The following is a 23,401-nucleotide window of genomic DNA, read 5'->3' on the forward strand; positions in this document are numbered from 1 at the left end:
CTCGGGAGGCTGAGGCAGGAGAATGGCGTGAACCCGGGAAGCGGAGCTTGCAGTGAGCCGAGATTGCGCCACTGCAGTCCGCAGTCCCGCCTGGGCGACAGAGCGAGACTCCGTCTCAAAAAAAAAAAAAAAAGTTTCCACACAGCAAAGAAAACAATCAACAAAGTGAAGAGGCAACCCACACAATGGGAGAATATATTTGCAAACTATCCATCTGACAAGAGATTAATAACCAGAATATAGAAGAAGCTCAAACAACTCAATAGGAAAAAAAACCAATAATCTGATTTAAAAATGGGCAAAAGATCTGAATAGATATTTCTCAAAAGAAGACATACAAATGGAAAACAGACATATAAAAAAGGTGCTCAACATCATCGATCATCAGAGAAGTAGAAATCAAACTACAATGAGATATCATCTAACCTCAGTTAAAAATGGATTTTATCCAAAAGACAGGCAATAACAAATGCTGGTTAGGATGTGAAGAAAAGAGAACCCTTGAACACTGCTGATGGGAATGTAAATTAGTACAGTCACTATGGAGAACAATATGGAGATTCCTCAAAAAAACTAAAAATAGAACTACCACATGATGCAGCAACACCACGGCTAGGTAAATGCCCAAAATAGAGGAAATCAGTATATCAGACGTATCTACACTCCCATGTTTATTGCAGCACTATCCACAATTGCCAAAATTTGGAAGCAACCTAAGTGTCCATCAATGCACAAATGGATAAAGAAAATGTAGTACATATACACAATGGAATACTAAGATCCTGTCATTTGTAGCAACATGGATGGAAGTAGAGTACATTATGTTAAGTGAAATAAGTCAGGCACAGAAAGACAAATTTTGCATTTTCTCACTTATTCTTGGGAGCTAAAAATTAAAGCAACTTAACTCATGGAGATTGAGAGTAGTATGATAGTTCCCAAAGGCTAAGAAGGGTGGTGGTGGATGGGTGGGGGAGTAGAGATGGTTATGGGTACAAAAATATAATTAGATAGAATGAATAAGATCTATCACAACAGGGTAACTACAGTGAACAATCATTTATTGTAAATTTTAAAATAATAAAAACAATATAATTGGATTGTTTGTAACACACACAAAAAATAAATGTTTTGGGTGATGGATACCCCCTTAACCCTGATGTAATAATTATACATTGTACACCTGAATCAAAATCTCATGTACCTCATAAATATATATATCTGATATATACCCACATAAAAATTTTTCAAAAAGTATTTGTGTTTAAAATGTTGACTTAATCAGATAGATGTTTCTTAGAAACCAAGATCGCCATCAAACCGGTTTTTCACATTGTGGTTATTGTATGGTTCTGTATTGTAGCCACATTAAACAATGATGAGTTCAAATGGAAACATACAGCCTTTCAACACTGGCTCCAAGAGATGGCATCTAGAAGAAACAGACTGATTCTGCAGAGTTCTGAAGGGAGCAGGTGACTTAGCAATTCTGTCTTCAGTTTCTCTGTGGTGAGTTGAGCACAAAAAGAGAGCAAAGCCTGAGATTATGCTTCATTTAGTCTGTATCTCTCATCAAAACAAAAAGAACAAACTGAAGAGACTGCAAACACAGTACATGCTCACTCCAAGATTGAGTAAGCAGTTTTAAACTATGACAGCCCCCTCAGAGGGCCCAATTTATTCCAAAAAGCTTTGGGAATGAAATGGGTTATTTACCCTTGTTGTTAAACAAACCAGCAGTCTCTTAGTCATAAAAGCATTCCCTCCAGGTAATAAGTATCATTTTCTTTAATATTATTGTTACGGGATCTTTGGGGTGTTGCTTTTCTGGCCAGAAACCTGTGGCCGGTGGTGCCTTTGCCCAAGTTTTGCTCAGGCCTACTGGGCTCGTTCTGCCCGCTCGGCCTGGCAGGCTGCACTCAGTTCATGCTACTGGCCTGAATCCCAAGTCTCCAAGATAGACTGGAGTCAGGCATGGAGCTGCAAGGAGCATGGGGTCTGGCCACTGTGCAGTCAGGCATGCCAGTTGCTGCCACGGGGCGGGCAGCTCCAGGTGCCAGCATTGGTGCCAGCTTTCTGCAAGGCTGCAGCTGGACCCGGTGCATTGCAAACAGCTTCCCCAGCTGGCACCAGGGAATGTGGTGGTGCCCAGAAGCTTGGAGATGCCAAGATCCACAAGGACCCAAAGAGTGAGTCACAGCCCTGGCTGAGGGAGCTCCCAGGTCTGGGATCCCCAAAGGGCTACAGATCTTCTCTCCTTCTCTTTGCTCACAACATGGCAAGCGAGGCGCATGTTTCAGCCCCGTTTGTCTTATAGCAGCTCTTTAAGCCTCACCATTTGGCAGGTCCGAAGTTCTTGTTCTGCTACCAGGAAGAATGAGGCATGCAGACACGTGAAGGGTGAGCAAGACAAAGAGGAGCTTTACTGAGTAATAAAACAGTTCAGAGAAGACCGCAGTGGGCAGCTCCTCTTCGTTACCAGGGTGCCCTGACTAGTGTTCAGCTCCTAGCAGAGAGGGCAGCTCCTCTCAGCAGGCAGGTCGTCCTGACAAGTTTTCAGTTCTCAGCAGAGAGGGTACCTCTCTGCAGCTGGTTGTCCCGTTGTCTCCAGCTCTCCGCAGAGAGGAGGCCCTAGAGTGGGTGGCTCCTTTCTGCAGGCAGCTTGTCCCATCGTCTGCAGCTCTTGGCAGAGAGGGTAGTTTCTCTCTGCAGCTAGTCGTCCTGTCATCTCTCAGTCCTCTGCTGTGCTCTGGCTAAACCCGGGACTTTTATTGCCTTAAAGGGGAGGAAGTGCGCACCAATTGGTTTATGAGTGGCCATGAGTGGGCCTAGAAAAGGTACCACAGGTCCCCACTCTGGTCCGCAGGACTGGAAGCCCAGCCCCCAGCCTTCAGGCCCTCCCTGGCCTGAAGATGGGACCTCACAGGGACCCACCCCCTTCTGCCCAGGAGCCCGTATGCCTCCTGCCACCGTCCATGGCACCCAGGCTGCGAGCTCCAAGAGGCACCTGCAGGCCAGCGCCGAGCCACCCTCAGGCCCCCACTCAGTCCCCCCACCCCACTTACACTTGTGGGTGGCCAAGGTCTGGAGGAGGCCAAAGTGGCAGAGCCCCAGCATGAACACGCTAGGCCAGGCTGTGATAGTACTTGGGCTCGGCCTCAACCCAGCTCTGAGATCAAAGCTGGTGCTGGGAGCAGGAGAGAGGCCAGGCAGCCAGAGCAGGCACCTCCGAGCCTGCAAGGGCAAGTGGGGGACCTTCCCAGGCCCCCAGGAGTGCAGAGAGGCCCAGGTCCATAGCCCCAACTTGGGCCTTGAGTAGCTGCAGCCGCACTTGGTCATCCCGATGTGGAGTGGACCCTGGGGTGGGTCCGCCTGGCCGTAGGAGGATGGGGGCGGCGCAGATGTCTGCCTCGAAGACGTGGGGCACAGGGGACGCACTGCTGCTACTGCTGCTCCCTCAGCCTCCTCTGCTGCCGCCGCCCACACCTCCCCCACTGTGGATGGCCTGCTGCTGCTATTATTAACAAATACTTTCAAATACCGTAACTTATTTTATGTGAGGAAGGATTATTCCCTTTTTATAGACGAAGAAACTAAATTTCATGGAGACTAAGTCACATGGCTAGTAACTGACAGAGCTAAACCTGAACCCAAACCAACTTTTTCAGAACATCATCAATGTTTTCCTGTGCTCCAGTTGTCAAACTTCATCAGCGAAATGTTGGGGTCATTTAAAGCTGCTGCTTTGCATTCACTGAAACGACTAACAACCACAAGGAAACATGGTAAATTTACATAAATCATTTATTCTAGATTTTGTGAAATAACCCAAATTGAAACTTGACTTCCTCCAATTCTTGAGTCTATCATAACATCCTTCCAGAAATATGCTTACTATTAAGATTTTTAAGATATTCTATATGACTATAACATTATTTTTTTTCTTTTTATTATTTTTCCATTAGTTATTGGGGTACAAGTGATGTTTGGTTACATGACTAAATTCCTTAGTGGTGATTTGTGAGATTTTGGTGCACCCATCCCCCGAGCAGTATACACTGCACCATATTTGTAATCTTTTATACCTTGCCCCCTCCCACTCTTCCCCCCCAAGTCCCCAAAGTCCATTGTATCATTCTTATGCCTTTGCATCCTCATAGCTTAGCTCCCACATATCAATGAGAATATACAATGCTTGGTTTTCCATTCCTGAGTTACTTCACTTAGAATAATAGTTTCCTGTCTCATCCTGGTCACTGCAAATGCTGTTAATTCATTCCTTTTTATGGCTGAGTAGTATTCCATCATATAAATATGCCACAGTTTCTTTATCCACTCATTGATTGATGGGCATTTGGGTTTGTTCACGATTTTGCTATTGTAAATTGTGCTGGTATAAACATGTATGTGCAAGAATCTTTTGCGAATAATGACTTTTTTCCCTATGGGTAGATATCCAGTAATGGGATTGCTGGATCAAATGGTAGTTTTACTTTTAGTTCTTTCAGAAATCTCCACACTGTTTTCCATAGCGGCTGTACTAGTTTACATTCCCACCAGCAGTGTAGTAGTGTTCCCTGATCACCGCATCCATACCAACATCTACTGTTTTTTGATTTTTTGATTATGGCCATTATTGCAGGTTGAGGTGGTATTGTGTTGTGATATTGATTTGCATTTCCCTCATTAGTGATGTTGAGCGTTTTTTCATATGTTTATTGGCCATTTGTATATCTTCTTTTGAGGATTATCTATTCATGTCCTTAGTCCACTTTTTGATGTGATTGTTTGTTTTTTTCTCACTGATTTTTTGAGTTCATTGTAGATTCTGGATATTAGTCCTTTGTCAGATATATAGATTCTAAAGATCTTCTCCCACTCTGTGGGTTGTTTGTTTGCTGCTAACTGTTCTTTTGCCCTGCAAAACTCCTTAGTTTAATTAGGTCCCAACTATTTATCTTTTTTATTTATTGCATTTGCTTTTGTGTTCTTGGTCATGAAATCCTTGCCTAAGCTAATGTCTAGAGGGTTTCTCCCAATATTATCTTCTAGAATTTTTATAGCTTCAGGTCTTAGATTTAAGTCCTTAATCCATCTTGAATTTATTTTTGTATAAGGTGAGAGATGAGGATCCAGTTTCATTCTCCTACATGTGGCTAGCCAATTATCCCAGCACCATTTGTTGAAAAGGATGTCCTTTTCCCACTTTATGCTTTTGTTTGCTTTGTCAAAGATCAGTTGGCTCTAAGTATTTGGGTTTATTTCTGTGTTCTCTATTCTGTTCCATTGGTCTATGTGCCTATTTTTATACTAGTACCACGCTGTTTTGGTGACCATGGCCTTATAGTATAGTTTGAAATCAGGCAGTGTGATGCCTCCAGATTTGTTATTTTTGCTTAGTCTTGCTTTTGGCTATGCAGGCTCTTTTTTGACTCCATATGAAGTTTAGAATTGTTTCTTCAAATTCTGTGAAGAATGATGGTGGTATTTTGATGGGGACTGCATTGAATTTGTAGATTGCTTTTGGCAGTATGGTCATTTTCACAATATTGATTCTACCCATCCATGAGCATGGGATGTGTTTCCATTTGTTTGTGTCGGCTATGATTTCTTTCAGCAGTGTTTTGTTTTCCTTGTAGAGGTCTTTCGATTCCTTGGTTAGGTATATTCCCAAGTTTTGTTTTGTTTTGTCTTTTGCAGTTATTGTAAAAGGGGTTGACTTCTTGATTTGATTCTCTGCTTGTTCACTCTTGGTGTAATAGAAGAGCTACTGACTTGTGTACATTAATCTTGTATCCGGAAACTTTGCTGAATTCTTTTATCAGTTCTAGGAGCTTTCTGGAGGAGTCTTTGTGGTTTACAAGGTAAACAATCATATCGTCAGCAAACAGAGACAGTTTGACTTCCTTTTTACTGAATCGGATGGCTTATTTCTTTCTCTTATCTGATTGCTCTGGCTAGGACTTCCAGTACTATGTTGAAGAGGAGTGGTGAAAGTGAGCATCCTTGTCTTGTTCCAGTTCTCAGAGGAAATGTTTTCAACTTTTCCCCATTTAGTATTATGTTGGCTGTGGGTTTGTCATAGATGGCTTTTATTACATTGAGGTATGTCCCTTCTATGCCGATTTTGCTGACAGTTTTAATCATAAAGGGATGCTGGATTTTGTAGAATGCTTTTTCTGCATCTACTGAGATGATCATGTGATTTTTGTTTTTAATTCTGTTTATGTGGTGTATCACATTTATTGACTTGCATATGCTAAACCATCCCTGCATCCCTGGTATGAAACCCACTCGATCATGGTGGATTATCTTTTTGATATGTTGTTGGAGTCGATTAGCTAGCATTTTGATAAGAGTTTTAGTATCTATGTTTATCAAGGATACCAGTCTGTAGTTTTCTTTTTTTGTTTGTGTCCTTTCCTGTTTGGTATTAGGGTGATGCTGGCTTCATAGAATAAATTAGGGAGGGGTTCTTCTTTCTCTGTCTTGTAGAATAGTGTCAATAGGATCGGTACCAATTCTTCTTTGAATGTCTGGTAGAATTCTGCTGTGAATCATCTGGTCCTGGATTTTTTTGTTGGTAATTTTTTAATTACCATTTCAATCTCACTGCTCGTTATTGTTCTGTTCAGGGTATCTAAGTCTTCCTGATTTAAGCTAGGAGCATTGTATTTTTCCAGGAATTTATCCATCTCTTCTAGGTTTTCTAGTTTATGTGTGTGAAGGTGTTCATAGTAGCCTTGAATGATGTTTTGTATTAGAGTCGTGTCAGTCGTAATACCTACTGTTTTGTTTCTTAGTGAGGTTACTTTGATTTTCTCTCTTCTGTTCTTGGTTAATATTGCTAATGGTCTATCAATTTTATTTATCTTTTAAAGAACCAGCTTTTTGTTTCATTTATCTTTTGTATTTTTTTTTTTGTTTCAATTTCATTTAGTTCTGCTCTGATCTTGGTTATTTCTTTTTTTCTGCTGGGTTTGGGTTTGGTTTGTTGTTCCTGTTTCTCTATTTCCTTGAGGTGTAACCTTAGAATGTCAGTTTGTGCACTTTCAGTCTTTTTGATGTAGGTATGTAGGGCTATGAACTTTCATCTTAGCACTGCCTTTGCTATATCCCAGAGGTTTTGATAGGTTGTGTCATTATTGTCATTCAGTTCAAAGAATTTTTTAATTTCGATCTTGGTTTCGTTTTCAACCCCATGCTCATTCAAGAGCAGGTAATTGAATTTCCATGTATTTGAATGGTTTTGAAGGTTCCTTTTGGAGTTGATTTCCAGTTTTATTCCACTGTGGTCTGAGAGAGTGCTTGACATAATTTCAATTTTCATGAATTGATTGAGGCTCGTTTTATGGCCTATCATATGGTCTTTCTTGGAGAAAGTTCCATGTGTTGTCAAACAGAATGTGTATTCTGCGGTTGTTGCATGAAATGTTCTGTATATACCTGTTAGGTCCATTTGTTCCAAGGTATAGTTAAAATCCATTGTTTCTTTGTTGACTTTCTGTCTTGATGACCTGTCTAGTGCTGTCAGTGGAGTATTGAAGTCCCCCACTATTATTTTGTTGCTGTCTATCTTATTTCTTGAGTCTATTAGTTATTGTTTTATAAACTTGGGAGCTCCAGTGTTAGCTGTATATATGTTTAGGATTGTGATATTTTCCCTTTGGACAAGGCCTTTTACCATTATGTAATATCCCTCTTTGTCTCTTTTAACTGCTGTTGCTTTAAAGTTTGTTTTGTCTGATATAAAAATAGCTAGCCTCCTGTCAGATCAGTGGCAGCATTAGATTCTTAAGATTCTCATGGGAGCCTGAACCCTACTGTGAACTGCTCATGTGAGGGATCTAGGCTGCATGCTCCTTATGAGAATCTAACTAATGCCTGATGAAACCACCACTCCCCAAACCCCTGTGTATGGAAAAATTGTCTTCCACGAAATTGGTTTCTGGTGCTAAAAAGGCTGGGGACCGCTGTTCTATATAGCTAATCAGAAGCCTTTATTTAAAAACAAAACATCTTAGCTGATAAGAAAGCAAATGTATTTGCAAATTAAAATGATAATTTTCAATCAACTAATATTTGGAGACTTTCTTGGCCAAAAATACACAGCTATAAGACTAATGACTTTTCTCTTAATTTCTAGACTTTACTTATGATTTGAATGATATAACGATAGTGATAAAATCTCAAATAAGAAGCACAAAAAAATCCCATTTTCAATGCCACATTTATGAGATTAGCATTTAGAGGGGGGCCTTGAAATTTTTTTCCAATGAATGATTCATATAAAATATTCATATATATTTCTCCAAATTTAATTTTTAATATATAATATTTTCACACAACTAAAAATGCAAGTATGTATATAGTAAAAGGTCTTCTCCCACTCTAGTTCTCTATCAAGTATTTTTTCTTATAGGCAATCGAAATTTCGAGGGCCTTGAGTATGTTTCCAGAGGTGTTCTATGTTATATATAACACAAACACACACACACAAACACACAAACACACACACACACATTATACTATATATACTGTTCTGCACCTTGATTTTTCCACTTAACAATATATCTTAGACAATATATATTGGACATCACTCCATAAATACATAAATTGTTTCCTTTTTTAACAGAATAGCCATTTCACATTCAGTTAAATGGATATGCTGTTAGTATAGCCTAGGGTATGTTCCAGTGACAAACTATCCCCAAATCTGAGTGGCTTAAAACCACAAAGTTTTATTTCTAGCTCATGCTATATGTTTATCATGAGTAGGTCAGGAGTTCTATTCCATGTCTACATCAGTAGGCCATCCAGGCAAATGCAGCAAGCTTTATCTAGTCATTTTGGCAGTACAAAAGAGAATTTTAGACTCACACTAAAATTAAATGATTCCATCTAAAAGTGGCAGAAGTTATTTCTGTTTATGGCATTGGACAAAAGGGTCACATGGCCATATACCACCTCAATAGAACCAGGAAGTGCTGAAAACATTTGAGCATCCCTAATAACCAGAGGGTCTATCATACTTTTAAAATCAGTTTTCTACTGATGATCCTTTAGCTGTTTTCAATTATTTGCTACAATAAATAAATACTATAGTAAATGTGCACATGTCATTTTGCATGTGTGAATACATCTATAGGGTATATTCCTGGAAGTAGAATTTTGCATGCATCTTTACAAGTCTACCTGTGGCACACAGCACACCAAGAATTTAGTTTCTCCACATTTGACATACACTGAACACAGATTATTAAGATTATGTATTTATTTTTGAGGTGGGATATGAAAGCAAAAAGATATTTCAGTGGAGGTATTTCCTTCAAAGATCCCAAGAATATGTTGTATTAATTTTGATTTTACTAAATGTATTAGATAAAGAATATTATGTTTCTTGGCCTTTAGCTGCTTTAATATATTTAGTTATTATATGTATCTTCTTTTAGAAGTCTTCCAATGGCTGGGTGCAGTGGTTCACGTCTGTAATCCCAGCACTTTGGGAGGCTGAGGTGGGCAGATCACTTGAGGTCAGGAGGTCAAGATCAGCCTGGTCAACAGGGCAAAACCTTGTCTCTATTAAAAACACAAAAAAATTAGCTGGGCATGGTGGCACAGGCCCGTAATTTCAGCTACTCAGGAGGCTGAAGTAGGAGAATCGCTTGAACCCGGGAGGTGGAGGTTGCAGTGAGCCGAGATTCCGCCATGCACTCTAGCCTGGGCGACAAAGTGAGACTCCGTCTCAAAAAAATAAGTAAATAAATAAATGAGGTCTTTCAGGGACACAATTTATTACAGTTATATTCTCTGAGCCAGAATAGGGAACAAGAATAGCTACAATGTTTTGTGTTTAAATCTTATTCCCAATATTCTCACAATTACTTTTACATTTCAGTTAAGTCAGAATCATAGTCCTGGATGTTGCACTGAAGGCTAGGATTAGATGATGGAATCCTCTAATTATTTGTTTTTACTAAATATCCCAATAGACCCATGGAAGGTTGATTGTGGTATATTAAAAAATTATTCTGACTATATTAGTTTGGGAAGCATCAGGTTAAACACCAGTGAACTTTTTAACCACAGGACTTTACACAGCCTCGTTTAATATAGGTGCAGAAACTAAATTTCCGACATAAGAATACACCAGATGTTTCCTCAAATTTATTTCACCATGGAGCTAATGTTTTATGAGCTTCTGCCTAGAGAACCTAATTCTTAAAAGAATACATTTAGATAAATATTGGTTTATAGTACTAAAACCATAATTCGACAAGTAGCAATTGAGCATGAATTATATTTTAGTCCTATGTAATCATTCTGTGATTACATAAAAGTAGGCCAAAGTCCTTGTTTCAAGTAGTCTGCAGGCTTATGGGAAATAATAACACGAAAAATACAAGTCACTGCTATGTATACAGAATATAAATGAGAATTTGCCTGAGACAAAAGAATTATTTAATTTTCTTTTCTTTTTTTTTTTTTTTCGAGACAGAGTCTTGCTCTGTCGCCCAGGCTGGAGTGCAATGGCATGATCTCAGCTCACCGCAACATCCACCTCCCAGGTTCAAGCGATTCTCCTGCCTCAGCCTCCAGAGTAGCTGGGACTACAGGCACACGCCACCATGCCCGGCTAATTTTTGTAGTTTTAGTAGAGATGGGGTTTCACCATGTTGGCCAGGATGGTCTTGATCTCTTGACCTTGTGATCCGTCCACCTCGGCCTCCTAAAGTGCTGGGATTACAGGTGTGAGCCACCGCGCCTGGCCTATTTAATTTCCAATACAGAATCTGACACATTTGTTCAAGTTTTTTTTTTTTTTTTTTTGAGAAGGAGTCTCGCTCTGTCACCCAAGCTGGAGTGCAGTGGCACAATCTTGGCTCACTGCAAGCTCTGCCTCCCTCCCGGGTTCACGCCATTCTCCTGCCTCAGCCTCCGGAGTAGCTGGGACTACAGGCGCCCGCCACCACACCCAGCTAATTTTTTGTATTTTTAGTAGAGACGGGGTTTCACTGTGTTAGCCAGGATAGTCTCGATCTCCTGACCTCGTGATCCACCCGCCTCTGCCTCCCAAAGTGCTGGAATTACAGGCGTGAGCCACCGCGCCCAGCCTCAAGTGTCTATTTTGATGTTCATTCACTTTTTCATTATAAGGAAGTAAATTACTTAGCACAAGAGAAAAACTTTTTTTTTTTGCAATCTAAAGTGTTCCCCAGTGAAATTCTGAGGAAACAAATGTTATCTCAGTTGACTCATGGCTTTAATTTTACTGTTTTCAGATTTCTCCGACAGCAATGAATAAAACAATTGCCTGACTAAAGAGGAGATATCCTCTTTAGATAAAACGACTGAAGACCCATTACCAAAATAGGGAAAAAGAAACAATCTCTATGAAAGAGTTTCAAATAAAAATATGTAGGTGCTTTGGACTTTTTTATTTCTTTATTTTCCCAGCCATGTCATAAATGTTTAGATTGACAAATATCTGAGAAAAATCATCACATAAAAATCCCCTTAAAGCAAATGTCATTTTGGTGCAATTAATTCTTGATTACTCTTTGACACTTGCTAAGCTTCTTTCAGATGAAAAAAGTATACTCTTGTTGGCATGTCACTAGTGTAATGCCCTCAAATATGTTAACATTATTCATGACTTCGTTCTTAAGTACATTTTGACTGAATTATCTTGAGTCAGGATATAAACAAAGTGATTTTACAAATAAATGTTTTGAAGGGAAGTTTCTTGAGATGCTTCTTTGATGATGTAAAGTCAAAGGTTTAACCATATTTCTTTCAGCAATTATCTGAAAATTGGTTTTTATTCTTAAAAATGTACAGATATGTCTATTTTATTTGCATTTATTCTCTTTCTTTTTTACCTAATGAAAAAAAAGTAACAGTGGGTTCTTATGAGCTATTTTTACAAAGGAAAATTGAGTTCTCTTCTGAGACAAAACTGAGCTGTAAACATACTGGTTTAAAATTTGTAAAAAACAATGTACACACCTACTTTCCACCTGGTACTTGCCAGTAAGAGAAAAGCGTGACAATTGTCCCTATATTGTTGCATTTTGACCTTACTGGTCAACAGCTGTCAGCTCCTGTAGAGCTCCATCAAGCACCTAAACAAATATACCCCTGCCAGGCCACCTTTTAAACATATCTTTCCAAGTCCCTAGTGATACTAAAGTTAGAATGAGAGATTTAACATGTTTGTAAGTTTTTAGGTTCTAATTACAAATATATGTAATTTGTTAAAATTTTTAAATCTTATTTTGGTGCCACTTTATTTGCCCAATTTACTGCTATTTGAAATAGAAACTAATACACTTACATGCCTTTAGATGAACTCTATTTTACTTTTATAAGTTTTAATCTGAGCCATAACATCTTTGCTTTGAATATATTGTCAACAAAATGAGCTCATTAAATAAAACTCTTCTATTAATTAAAAAGGCCAGTGGTCTGCCCAAGTAACTACCTTATCATTTCTACACAGGGTAAACAGACATTCAATATGTTGGTAAAAATATAGACTTATCACAAAAAAAAAATAAAGGAAGAACTAGCATCTAGTCTTCTTTAGTTGTTTTAAGACACATTCTATGGACAAAGCATGTACTTTCTGCATCAGAATCCAGATGTTGGCCACAATCTAGTCTCTTGGAGTTTCCCATTGTCCCCCCAAAGGCAAAGTTCTGTCAATGCCTCTCAGCTGGACCCTAGGCACAAGTCTAGCTTATGCCCACCCACCCTGCCCAACTGTCTCCTTAAAACAGGCCTTTCTACCCATATTTTTGTTCATCCAGAAAGGGAAGCTATGGTAAGAGTCTTGAGTAAAATATACAACAGAATACTTTATAAATATAATAAATTCAATTTTATTCTTCCTATTGTGTAAGACTCGGGATAGACTGAGAACTTTTCCTGCTTCTCTAACATTTTTGATCCAAGCTGCTTTATCCTAGAGGTTCTCTTACTCTCAGGGGAGAAATAGTAGGACTTTGCTTTTGACTGCATGGCCTAAAAGCATGGCCTGGAGCAAGTCTCCAAGACAAGGGCAAGAGAAAATCAACAGGACGGGGAAAAGATTGAGAAGAGTCTGTTGCTGGGTAGAAATGCTAAACTCTAATCAGAGTGCCAACAAGGATACAATGAAAGCTGGAATGAAGGCAGAGCCCACTCTTAAAGGCTCTTATGCCTTTGTTGAACCCATAGGGGCCAATGCTACCCAATCACAAGGCTTGAAAAGGGAGGACTTTGATTGTGATCATAAGTGTCTCTTTCCTAATATTTTTACCTGTGGAAACACTCTTCTGCTCCAAAAGTCTGGTTTGACCCTCAGGAAGGGGAAGGAATTCCCTACCCATGACTAAGATTGAATTTCTTAGCATCCTGGGGGGATAAAGCTCAGAACCAGATTTAACTTCATTTTGAACAAATAAGGGAATGTAACATTTCTACATCCCTAAACAGATACAGTGCCAAAAAGGTCTTCTCCATGGCATATTATAGTCAATTTTTTGAATGTCAAAGACAGAGAGAATTCTAAAAGCAGCAAGAGAAAAGCATCTAGTCACTTATAAAAGAACCCCCATCAGATTAACAGTGGATTTCTGAATAGAAACTTTACAAGATTGGAAAGAATGAGATAATATATTCAAAATGCTGAAAGAAAAAGAGTTAGCCACAGATTCCATACCCAGCAAAGTTATTTTTCATAAATGAAGGAGAAATAAAGTCTTTTCTAAACAAGCAAAAACTGAGAGAATTAATCACAATTAGACTGACTCTACAAGAAATGCTCATGGGGTCCTACACCTGGAAGTGAAACAGCAGTATCTACCATCATGAAAACACACAAAAACATGAAAACAACTGGTAGAGCAAACACACAAACAAGGAAGAGGAAAAGCTCAAATATTACCAATACAGAAAACCACCAAATGACACTGAAACAAGGAGAGAAAGAAAAAAACAAAAAATAAACAAAACAACCATAAATCAATTAATAAAATGAAATAAGCATCAATGTATCAGTAATAACTTTGAATGTTAATAGGTTAAATTTCCACTTAAAAGAAATACATTGGCTAACTGGAATTTTTTTTTTTTTTTTTTTTTTGAGATGGAGTCTCGCTCTGTCACCCAGGCTGGAGTACAGTGGCATAATCTCGGCTCACTGCAACCTCTGCCTCCCGGGTTCAAGTGATTATTTTGCCTCAGCCTCCCCAGTAGCTGAGACTACAGGCGTACTCCATCACGCCTGGCTAATTTTTGTATTTTTAGTAGAGACAAGGTTTCACTATGTTGGCCAGGCTGGTCTCAAACTCCTGACCTTGTGATCCTCCCGCGTTGGCCTTCCAAAGTTCTGGGATTATAGGCGTGAGCCACTGCACCCAGCCCTGGATTTTTTAGTGACCCAACTATAAGCTACCTACAGGAAACTCACCTCACATGTAAAGACACATGTAGACTAAAAGTAAACAGATTGAAAAAGATATTCCATTGAAACAAACCACAAGCAAGCAGAAGTAGCTATAATTATATCAAATAAAATAGACTTTAAGTCAAAAATAGTAAAAAGAGACAAAGAAGGTCATGATATAATGATAAAGATATCATTTCAGCAAGAGGTTATGACAATTCTAAACATAAATGCACCATGCACTGAGGATCCAGATATATATAACAAATATTACTAGATTTAAAGGGAGAGAGAGACTGTAATACAGTAATAGTTGGGGACTTTGATACCCCATTCTCAGCATTAAACAGATTATCTAGAAAGAAACTTAACAAAGAAATATTGGATTTAAACTGAACATTAGATCAAATTAACCTAACAGACATTGACAGAACATTTCATTCAGCAATTACAGAATACATATTCTTCTCAGTACATGGGAGATTCTCCAGGATAGACCACATGTTAGGACACAAAACAAGTCTCAGCAAATTTTAAAAAATCAAAATTATATTAAGTACCTTCTCAGACCACAATGGAATAAAACTAGAAATGCATAAAAAGAGAAACATTGAAACTATACACATATATGAAAATTAAACAACAGACTCTTGAAAGACCACTGGGTCAAGGAAGAAGTTAATGAAGAATCAAGAGCCTCTTGAATCAAATGAAAATCAGCACACAACATGTCAAAACCTATGAGATACAACAAAAGCAGTGACAAGAGGGAAGTTTATAATAGCAATAAGCACCTATATCAAAAAAGTAGAAATATTTCAAATAAACAATCTAACAATGCACCTCAAGCAACTAGAAAAGCAAGAAGAAACAAAACTCAAAATTCACAGAAGGAAAGAAATAACAAAGATCAGAGCAGAACTGAACAAAATAGAGACAAAGAATCAACAAAACAAAAAGTTTGTTCATTTAAAAAGATAAACAAAATTAATAAAATATTTGTTAGACCAATCAAGAAAAAAAGAAAGAATGCCCAAATAAACATAATCAAAAATGAAAAAGGAGACATTATAACCGATATCACAGAAATACAAAAGAGCATCATAGATTATTATGAATGACTACACACTAAAAAACTGGAAAGACTGGGGGAAATGAATAAATTCCCGGACACATACAACCTACCACGATTGAGTCAGGAAGAAATAGAAAACTTGAACAGACCAATAACAAGTAATAAGATCAAGGTAATAATAAAAAGTCTCCCAACAAAGAAACAGCCAGGAATCGATAGCTGCACAGCTGAATTCTAACAAATATTTAAAGAAAAACTAACACTAGTTTTCTTCAAACTCTTCCAAAATTGAAGAGGAGGGAATGCTCCCTGACTCATTATATAAGGCCAGCATTACCCTGACACCAAAAGCAGACAGGACACAACAAAAATAAAAAACCTACAGGCTAATATCACTGATGAATGTAGATGCAAAAATCCTCCACAAAATATTATCAAACTGTGTCCAAAACCCCATCAAAAAAGTAATACACCATAATCAAGTGGATTTATTCCAGGGATGCAAAGATTGTTCAACTACACAAATCAGTCAATGTGATACATCCTATCAATAGGCTGAAGGACAAAAAACATATAATCATCTCAATGGACAAAGAAAAAGCATTTGATAAAATTCAACATCCTGGAGAGTGACACCAGCAAGTTGGGTGAGTAAAGAAGCCTAGAATTCTTCCCCCAACAAGAAAGGACCAAGTCAATGAATAAACAGCTAAGATTTGACTAGAGTGTCAAAGGCGTGGTGTTAGACTGCAGGAGGTGAGTGGAGATGCACCTGTGGTGATTGCAAGTCCAGGAGAGAAGCATGGAGGCACCGGCCTCTGCAGCTCCATCTTCCCCACTCAGATCAGATTGGCCTGGACTCAGAAGAGACTTCCCATTATAGGTAAAAGGTAAGTAAGCAAAAGATTCTTACCAGCCTCCATTGCCACAGCAGATACCTACAGTTTTTACAACAGGCAAATCCCACAGTCCTCACAATTTCTGAGACCAGTTTGAAGAGCTACTAGGAATTCACACAGCTGCATTGCCCTAGATTAGGAACACAAGGTGTGTGGCTTCCCACCCTGACCCAATCCCCTGTGAGCCAAGCTGCTGCAGATATCTCTTTGATATATTGATTTCCTTTCTTTTGGATATGTACTCAGAAATGGAATTGCTGGATCATATGGTGATTTTATTTTTAGTGTTTCTGAGGAACCTCCGTACTGTTCTTCATAGTGGATATTCTAATTTACATTCCCACCCACAGTGTACAAGGGTTCCTCCTTCTCCATTTTCTCACCAGCATTTATTAGATAATAATCTTTTTGAGGAAGGCCATTTTAACTGGTGTGAGATGATATCTATTATAGTTTTGATTTGCATTTCTCTGATGGTTAGTGGTGTTGAGCACCTTTTCATATACCTGTTGGCCATTTGTTTGTCTTCTTTTGAGAAATATCTAGTCAGATCTTTTGGTTATAAATCCCTTGTCAGATGGATAGTTAGCAAATATTTTCTTCCATTCCGTGGATTGTCTCTTCACTTTGTTGATTGTTTCTTTTGTTGTGCAGAAGCTTTTCAGTTTGATGTTATACCATTTGTCAGTTTTCGGTTTTGTTTCCTGTGTTTTTAAGGTCACAGCCCAAAAATCTGCCAAGACCAATGTCTTGGAGCATCCCTTCAATGTTTCTTCTAGTCGTTTCATAGATTCAGGTCTTAGACACAAGTCTGTAATTCATTGTGATTTGCCGCTTTTTGTGTATAGTGAGAGATAAGGGTTCTATTTTTATTCTTCTGCATATAGTTATCCAGTTTTACCAGCATCATTTATTAAAGACTGTCCTTTCCCTATTGTATGTTCTTAGCACCTTCATTGAAAATGAGTTGGCTGTAAATATCTGGATTTATATCTGAATTCTCTATTCTGTTCTATTGGTATGTGTCTGTTTTTATGCCAGTCTCCTGCTTATTTGGTTACTATAGATTTATGTTAAAATTTGAAGTCAGGTAGTGTGATGCTTCCAGCTTTGTTCTTTTGGCTTAAAATTGCTCCACCTATGAAGGGTCTTTTGTGGTTCCATATAAATTTTAGGATGTTTTATCTATTTCTGTGAGAATATCATTGGCATTTTGGTAGGAATTTTGATGAATCTGTAAATTGCTTTGGGTATTATCATTTTCACAATATTCTTCTAATCCATGAGCATGGAATAACTTCACATTTTTTGTGTGTGTCCTCTTCAATTTCTTTCATCACTGTTTTATTGGTTTTTTTAAATAGATCATTAACTTCTTTGATTAAATTGATTCCTATGTATTTTATGTTCTTTCTTTTTCTTCTTTCCAACTTTTATTTTAGAGTCAAAGGGTGCACATGCAGGTTTGTTACGTGGGTAAATTACATGTTGTGGGTGTTTGGTGTACAAATAATTTTGTCACCCAGATAATCAGCATCATATTCAATAGGTAGTTTTTCATTTCTCATCCTCCTCCCACCCTCCACCCTCAAGTAGGCCCTGGTGTCTATTGTTCCCTTCTTTGTGTCTATGTGTACTCAATGTTTAGCTCACATTTATAAGTGAGAACATGCAACATTTGGTTTTCTATTCCTGTGTTAATTCTCTTAGGATATTGGCCTCCAGCTCTATTCATTTTGCTGCAAAGGACATGATCCCATTCTTTTTATAGCTGTGTAGTACTCCATGATGTATATGTACCACATTTTCTTTATTCATCCGACTGTTGATGGGCATCTAGGTTAATTCCAGGTCTTTGTTATTATCAAGAGTGCTGTGATGAACATACGCATGCATGTATCTTTATGATAGAACAATTTATATTCCTTTAGGTATATACCCAGTTATGGGATTGCTGAGTCAAATGGTACCTCTATTTTAAGTTCTTTGAGAAATCTTCAGACTGCTTTCCACAATGGCTGAACTAATTTACGTTCTAACCAGCAGTGTATACATGTTCCCTTTCCTCCACAACCTCACAAGAATCTATTATTTTCCACTTTTTAATAATAGCCATTCTGACTGGTGTGAGATAGTATCTCACTGTGGTTGTGATTTGCATTTCCCTAATGATTAGTGATATTGAGCATTTATTCCTGTCCTTGTTGCCCACCTGTATGTCTTCTTTTGAGAAGTGTCTGTTCATGTCCTTTGCCCACTTTTTTAATGGGGCTGTTTGGTTTTTGGTTGTTGATTTGTTTGCAAATATTTTTCTCATTCTGCAGGTTGTGTGTTTACTCTGTTGATAGTTTCTTTTGATGTACCGATGCTTTTTAGTTTAATTAAGTCCCACATCAATTTTTGTTTTTGTTGTAATTGCTTTTGGAGTCCTTGTCATGAAGTCTTTGGAAGGGCTAATGTCCAGAATAGTATTTCCTACGTTTCCTTCTTGGATTTTTATCGTTTTGGGTTTGACATTTAAGTCTTTAATCTCTCTTGAGTTAATTTTTGTATATGGTGAAAAGTTGGGGTCCAGTTTCAATCCTCTGCATATGGCTGGCCAGTTATCCCAGCACCATTTGTTGAACAGGGAGCCCTTTCCCCACTGCTTGTTATTGTTGGCTTTATTGAAGATCAGATGGTTGTAGGTGTGCACCTTTATTTCTTGGTTCTCTGACTTGTTACATTGGTCTATGTGTCTGTTTTTGGACCAGTACCATGCTTTTTTAGTAACTGTAGCCTTGTAATATAGTTTGAAATTGGGTAATGTGATGCTCCCAGGTTCGTTCTTTTTCTTTAGGATTGCTTTGGCTATTCAGACTCTTTTTTAGTTCCAAACGAATTTAAGAATATTTTTTCAATTTTGTGAAAAATGTCATTGATAGTTTGATAGAAACAGCATTGAATCTGTAAATGTCTTTGGGCAGTATGGCCATTTTAACAATATTGGTTCTTCCTATCCATGAGCATGGAACGTTTTTCCATTTGTTTGTGTCATCTCTGATTTCTCTGAACAGTGTTTTGTAATTCTCATTGTACAGATATTTCACCTCCCTGGTTAGCTGTATTTATAGATATTTTATTATTTTGGCTATTTTGAAGCCACAAAAGCATTAGTAGCATTTCTATACACGAGTAATGCCCAAACTGAGAGCCAATAACTTGATTTGGCTCTCAGCTTGGACATTATTGATGTATAGAAATGCTACTAATTTTTGTACATTAATTTTGTATCCTGAAACTTTGCTGAAGTTGTTTATCAGATCTAGGAGCCTGTATTAGTCAGGGTTCTCTAGAGGGACAGAACTAATAGGATAGATGTATATATAAATAAACGGGAGTTTATTAAGGTGTGTTGACTCAGGCAATCACAAGGTGAAGTCCCACAATAGGCCATCTATAAGCTGAGGAGCAAGGAAGCCAGTCCAAGTCCCAAAACTTCAAAAGTAGGGAAGCCGACAGTGCAGCCTTCAGTCAGTGGTCAAAGGTCCAAGAGTCCAAGAGCTGAAGAACTTGGAGTGTGATGTTCAAGGTCAGGAAGCATCCAACAATGTAGACTGGAAGACTAAGCCAGTCTAGTTTTTCCACGTTCCTCTGCCTGCTTTTATCCTAGCCACACTGGCAGCTAATTAGATGATCCCCACCCAGTTTTGAGGGTGTGTCTGCCTCTCCCAGTCCACTGACGCAAATGTTAATCTCCTTTGGTAACACTCTCACAGACACACCCAGGAACAATACTTTGCATCCTTCAATCCAATCAAATTGACACTCAATATTAACCATCACAGAGCCTTTGGGCAGAGACTGTGGGGTTTTCTAGATATAGAATCATATTTTCTGTGAAAAGGAATAGTTTGACTTCCTCCCTTCCTATTTGGATGCCTGTTATTTCTTTCTCTTGACAGATTGCTCTGGCTAGGACTTCTGGTATTTTATATTCTTTGTAAATTGTAGCTATTACAAATGGGATTGCTTACTTGATTTCTTTTTTAGATTGTTCACTGTTGGTATGTATAAATGCTACTGATTTTTGTATGTTAATTTTGTATACTGCAACTTTACTGAATTTATTAGTTACAACAGTTTTTTTGTGAAGTCTTTATGTCTTTCTAAGTATAAGATCATGCTGTCTGTCAATAAGGCTAATTTGACTTTTTCTTTTATAGTTTGGATGCCCCTTTATTACTTTCTCTTGCCTAATTTCTCTGGCCAGGACTTCCAGTATTATGTTGAATAAAACTGGTGAAAGTAAGCATTCTAGTATTATTTTAAATCTTATAGGAAAGGTCTTAAATGTTTCCCCACTCAGTACAATAACAGACCCTTTAAGGAGACGTGATTTGGAGATACAGGTTTGCTGGAAACACCACAGGAGGAGAAACAAAGAGGTGCAGTCATCAGATGAAAGCCATATGAATATCCCAGGTGGGGGCTGGCAGTGGATATGTCCAAACTTAGAAGTGAATCACGGGAGCTTTAAAGGCTTGAACCCACTTCAATAGGGCATGTTGGAGCCACAGCCCATCCCTAAGCACAGCACTCCAGATCAGCAACTATGGATGAGGTGACTGTGACCTCCCTCAGGTTGCATAAGTAGGGATATATTTATGCCTTTCAAGATGCTGAAGGAACCAGCAACTAGAGGAGAGAAAAGGGAAAGCTCCATAAAGAGCAAATCATGCCGCCTTCCCGAAGGAAAAAGACTGGGACTGGATAGTTGGATCTTGCCAATGCTGGAGTCATGGGAGGAATCTTCAAATTAAATTTGCGAGTTAATTTTTTAAAATGAACAGAAATGAATCCTTTAAAACAAAACAAGCCCTGGCAGGGTCATTCATGCCTATAATCTCAGCACTTTGGGAGGCCAAGGATTAAGGACTGCTTGAGCCTAGGAGTTTGAGACCAACCTGGGCAACATAGTGAGACCTAGTATCTACAAAAAATAAAACAAATTACCCTTCTTCTGTCTGCAACATCTCTCCAGCTGACAAAAACACAGGGGATCCATCACCTTCACCTCCCAGAAATCACAAACAGCGCTGACCTCCCCCTGGCCCCACTCCTAACCTGGCAGTCCCTGAGACAGCAGGTCACCCAATTCACTTTCCCCCTGTTTAGGGAGAATAAGAAAGATTGACAAGCCCCTGCTTAAGCAGACATTTAAAAAATAAGTATCAATCTTCCTTTTCTTTAGACAGCACCAAAACTTATGAAGATTCTTTTGGCACCTCCAGCTCTTTGGGTTGCTGGGAGCAAAGCATCTCTCTCTCCCTGCAAACCACCTTCTAAAACAGGCTGCCTTTTCCCCTCTGTGCAGGCAGGCATCAAGTACCCAAAGAAAACAGCTGGCTCTGAGTGGTCTCTCTCTAGTTAGCCTTTTGGGAAATAGTTGGCCTTAAATATAGATGCTTTCTTGAATTTAAAATTTGAACCATATAATGACTTTTGTTCATAATTTTGAGCCACTGAAATTCCAACATGAAAAATTCCAGACAACATTGTATTATTTACACATATATAATCAGTTCAAAAGGCATTTCTAAAATTGTTCTAATTGTGATAACATAATCTCCATTTAAGCAATAGATTGTCCTACCTGAGAATTCCAAGAAGAGAATTGAAGTGAACCTGAGGAAAGACCATGGGACTTCCACCTGCATGTTATGCAGAGGCAGCACTTAACAATGAGTCCTCTGAGGTTAGAGGATTTCCAGGCTCTGTTAGAGGATTATTGTTCTATTTATGCTTCTCACCATTTCAACATATGCTCAGCATTGGTTTTACAGGGACCATTTATACTTTACAAACTACATCCAAGAATAAGAGACAGAAAGAAGTTGTAATGAAATGCAAAATATTATGATTCTCAAATTGTCTGGATTGAGCTTTCAAGAAAACATGCAAAAAAGCAGCAATACCGGCTAATCTTCATTCCTAAAACAATCAAGTGATAACGTTTTTAAAGCATCATAATTTGAATGCCCAAAGATTTTTTTAAAAAAATTCAGCTTTACTTATTTTGCTTCTTTCTGCTAATAAAATAAAAAGGATTTATTTAGTGTTCATTCTTCTTTTACAAAGTTTGAATGACTGTAGGAATCACATTTTGATAATTTCTTTTGACTGCTACTTGATTTGATCTGAGACTATTTATTTATTTATTTTATTTTATTCATTTATTTTGAGATGAGTGTCGCCCAGGCTGGAGTGCAGTGGTGCGATCCCGGCCCACTGCAATCTCCGCCTCCTGAGTTCAAACGATTCTCCTGCCTCAGCCTCCTAAGTAGCTGGGACTATAGGCGCGTGCCACCATGCCCGGCTAATATTTGTATTTTTAGTAGAGATGAGGTTTCACCTTGTTTGCCAGGCTGGTCTCAAACGCATGACCTCAGGTGATCCGCCCACCTCGGCCTCCAAAAGTGCTGGGATTACAAGCGTGAGCCACCCCTCCCAGCCTGAGACTATTTATTTTAACCATCTACTTAAATAAAAATGTGCAGGACAGGCCATTAGATCTCATCATTGTTCCACTAACTCATCATTTTAAAACAGCTTCATCTGAGCTTGGGAAACACTGACTTATGTTAAGTAATAGCCTCCCTCTAGTGGATAAAGATGGGAGGAGCAGACTGAGTTTTTTTTGGTTTTTGTTTTGGATTCCCCAAAAGCTAGACTTTGTTAGATTCAATTTATCAAGGCTCCAGCAAGCAATGTTGAACTTCTTTGTGGTTTAATTTCATCTGCATTGTTGTATTTTATTTCCATTATGGTTCTCTTCATCCTTGAAGTCATTCAGCTAATAAATATTTATTGGATACCTGCGATGTGTCAGGCACGGTTCCATGCCCTGGAGATACAGCAGTGAGTGAACAAAACAATTTGAAATCCTGTCTTTGGGAAACTTAAAACAATATTAGATTGTTATCATCATGTGCTTTCTACATGCCAGACTATGTA

The 23,401-nt window shown here is 38.5% G+C and overlaps 1 protein-coding gene and 1 long non-coding RNA gene across 3 annotated transcripts in view; one reads left to right on the top strand and one right to left on the bottom strand.

Moving 5' to 3' along the window:
- LOC101927118 (uncharacterized) overlaps nt 1–11,432 on the top strand; it is a 117,987-nt gene extending 106,555 nt beyond the window's left edge. For both annotated transcript variants that reach the window (XR_001745980.2, XR_242492.3), the window contains exons 7-9: nt 1,364–1,509; nt 3,669–3,785; nt 11,283–11,432. This is a non-coding gene — a long non-coding RNA (uncharacterized LOC101927118). The remainder of the gene's footprint in view (nt 1–1,363; nt 1,510–3,668; nt 3,786–11,282) is intronic.
- Nucleotides 1–22,127, bottom strand: part of FABP12 (fatty acid binding protein 12) — a 65,159-nt gene extending 43,032 nt beyond the window's left edge. Inside the window, exon 1 of the mRNA XM_011517577.3 lies at nt 22,041–22,127. The gene's annotated coding sequence lies outside the window, so the exon portion shown is untranslated. The remainder of the gene's footprint in view (nt 1–22,040) is intronic.
- Between the last annotated feature and the right edge of the window lie 1,274 nt (nt 22,128–23,401).

Source organism: Homo sapiens, chromosome 8, assembly GCF_000001405.40.
Source record: "Homo sapiens chromosome 8, GRCh38.p14 Primary Assembly".
In the NCBI taxonomy this organism is placed as follows: domain Eukaryota; kingdom Metazoa; phylum Chordata; class Mammalia; order Primates; family Hominidae; genus Homo; species Homo sapiens.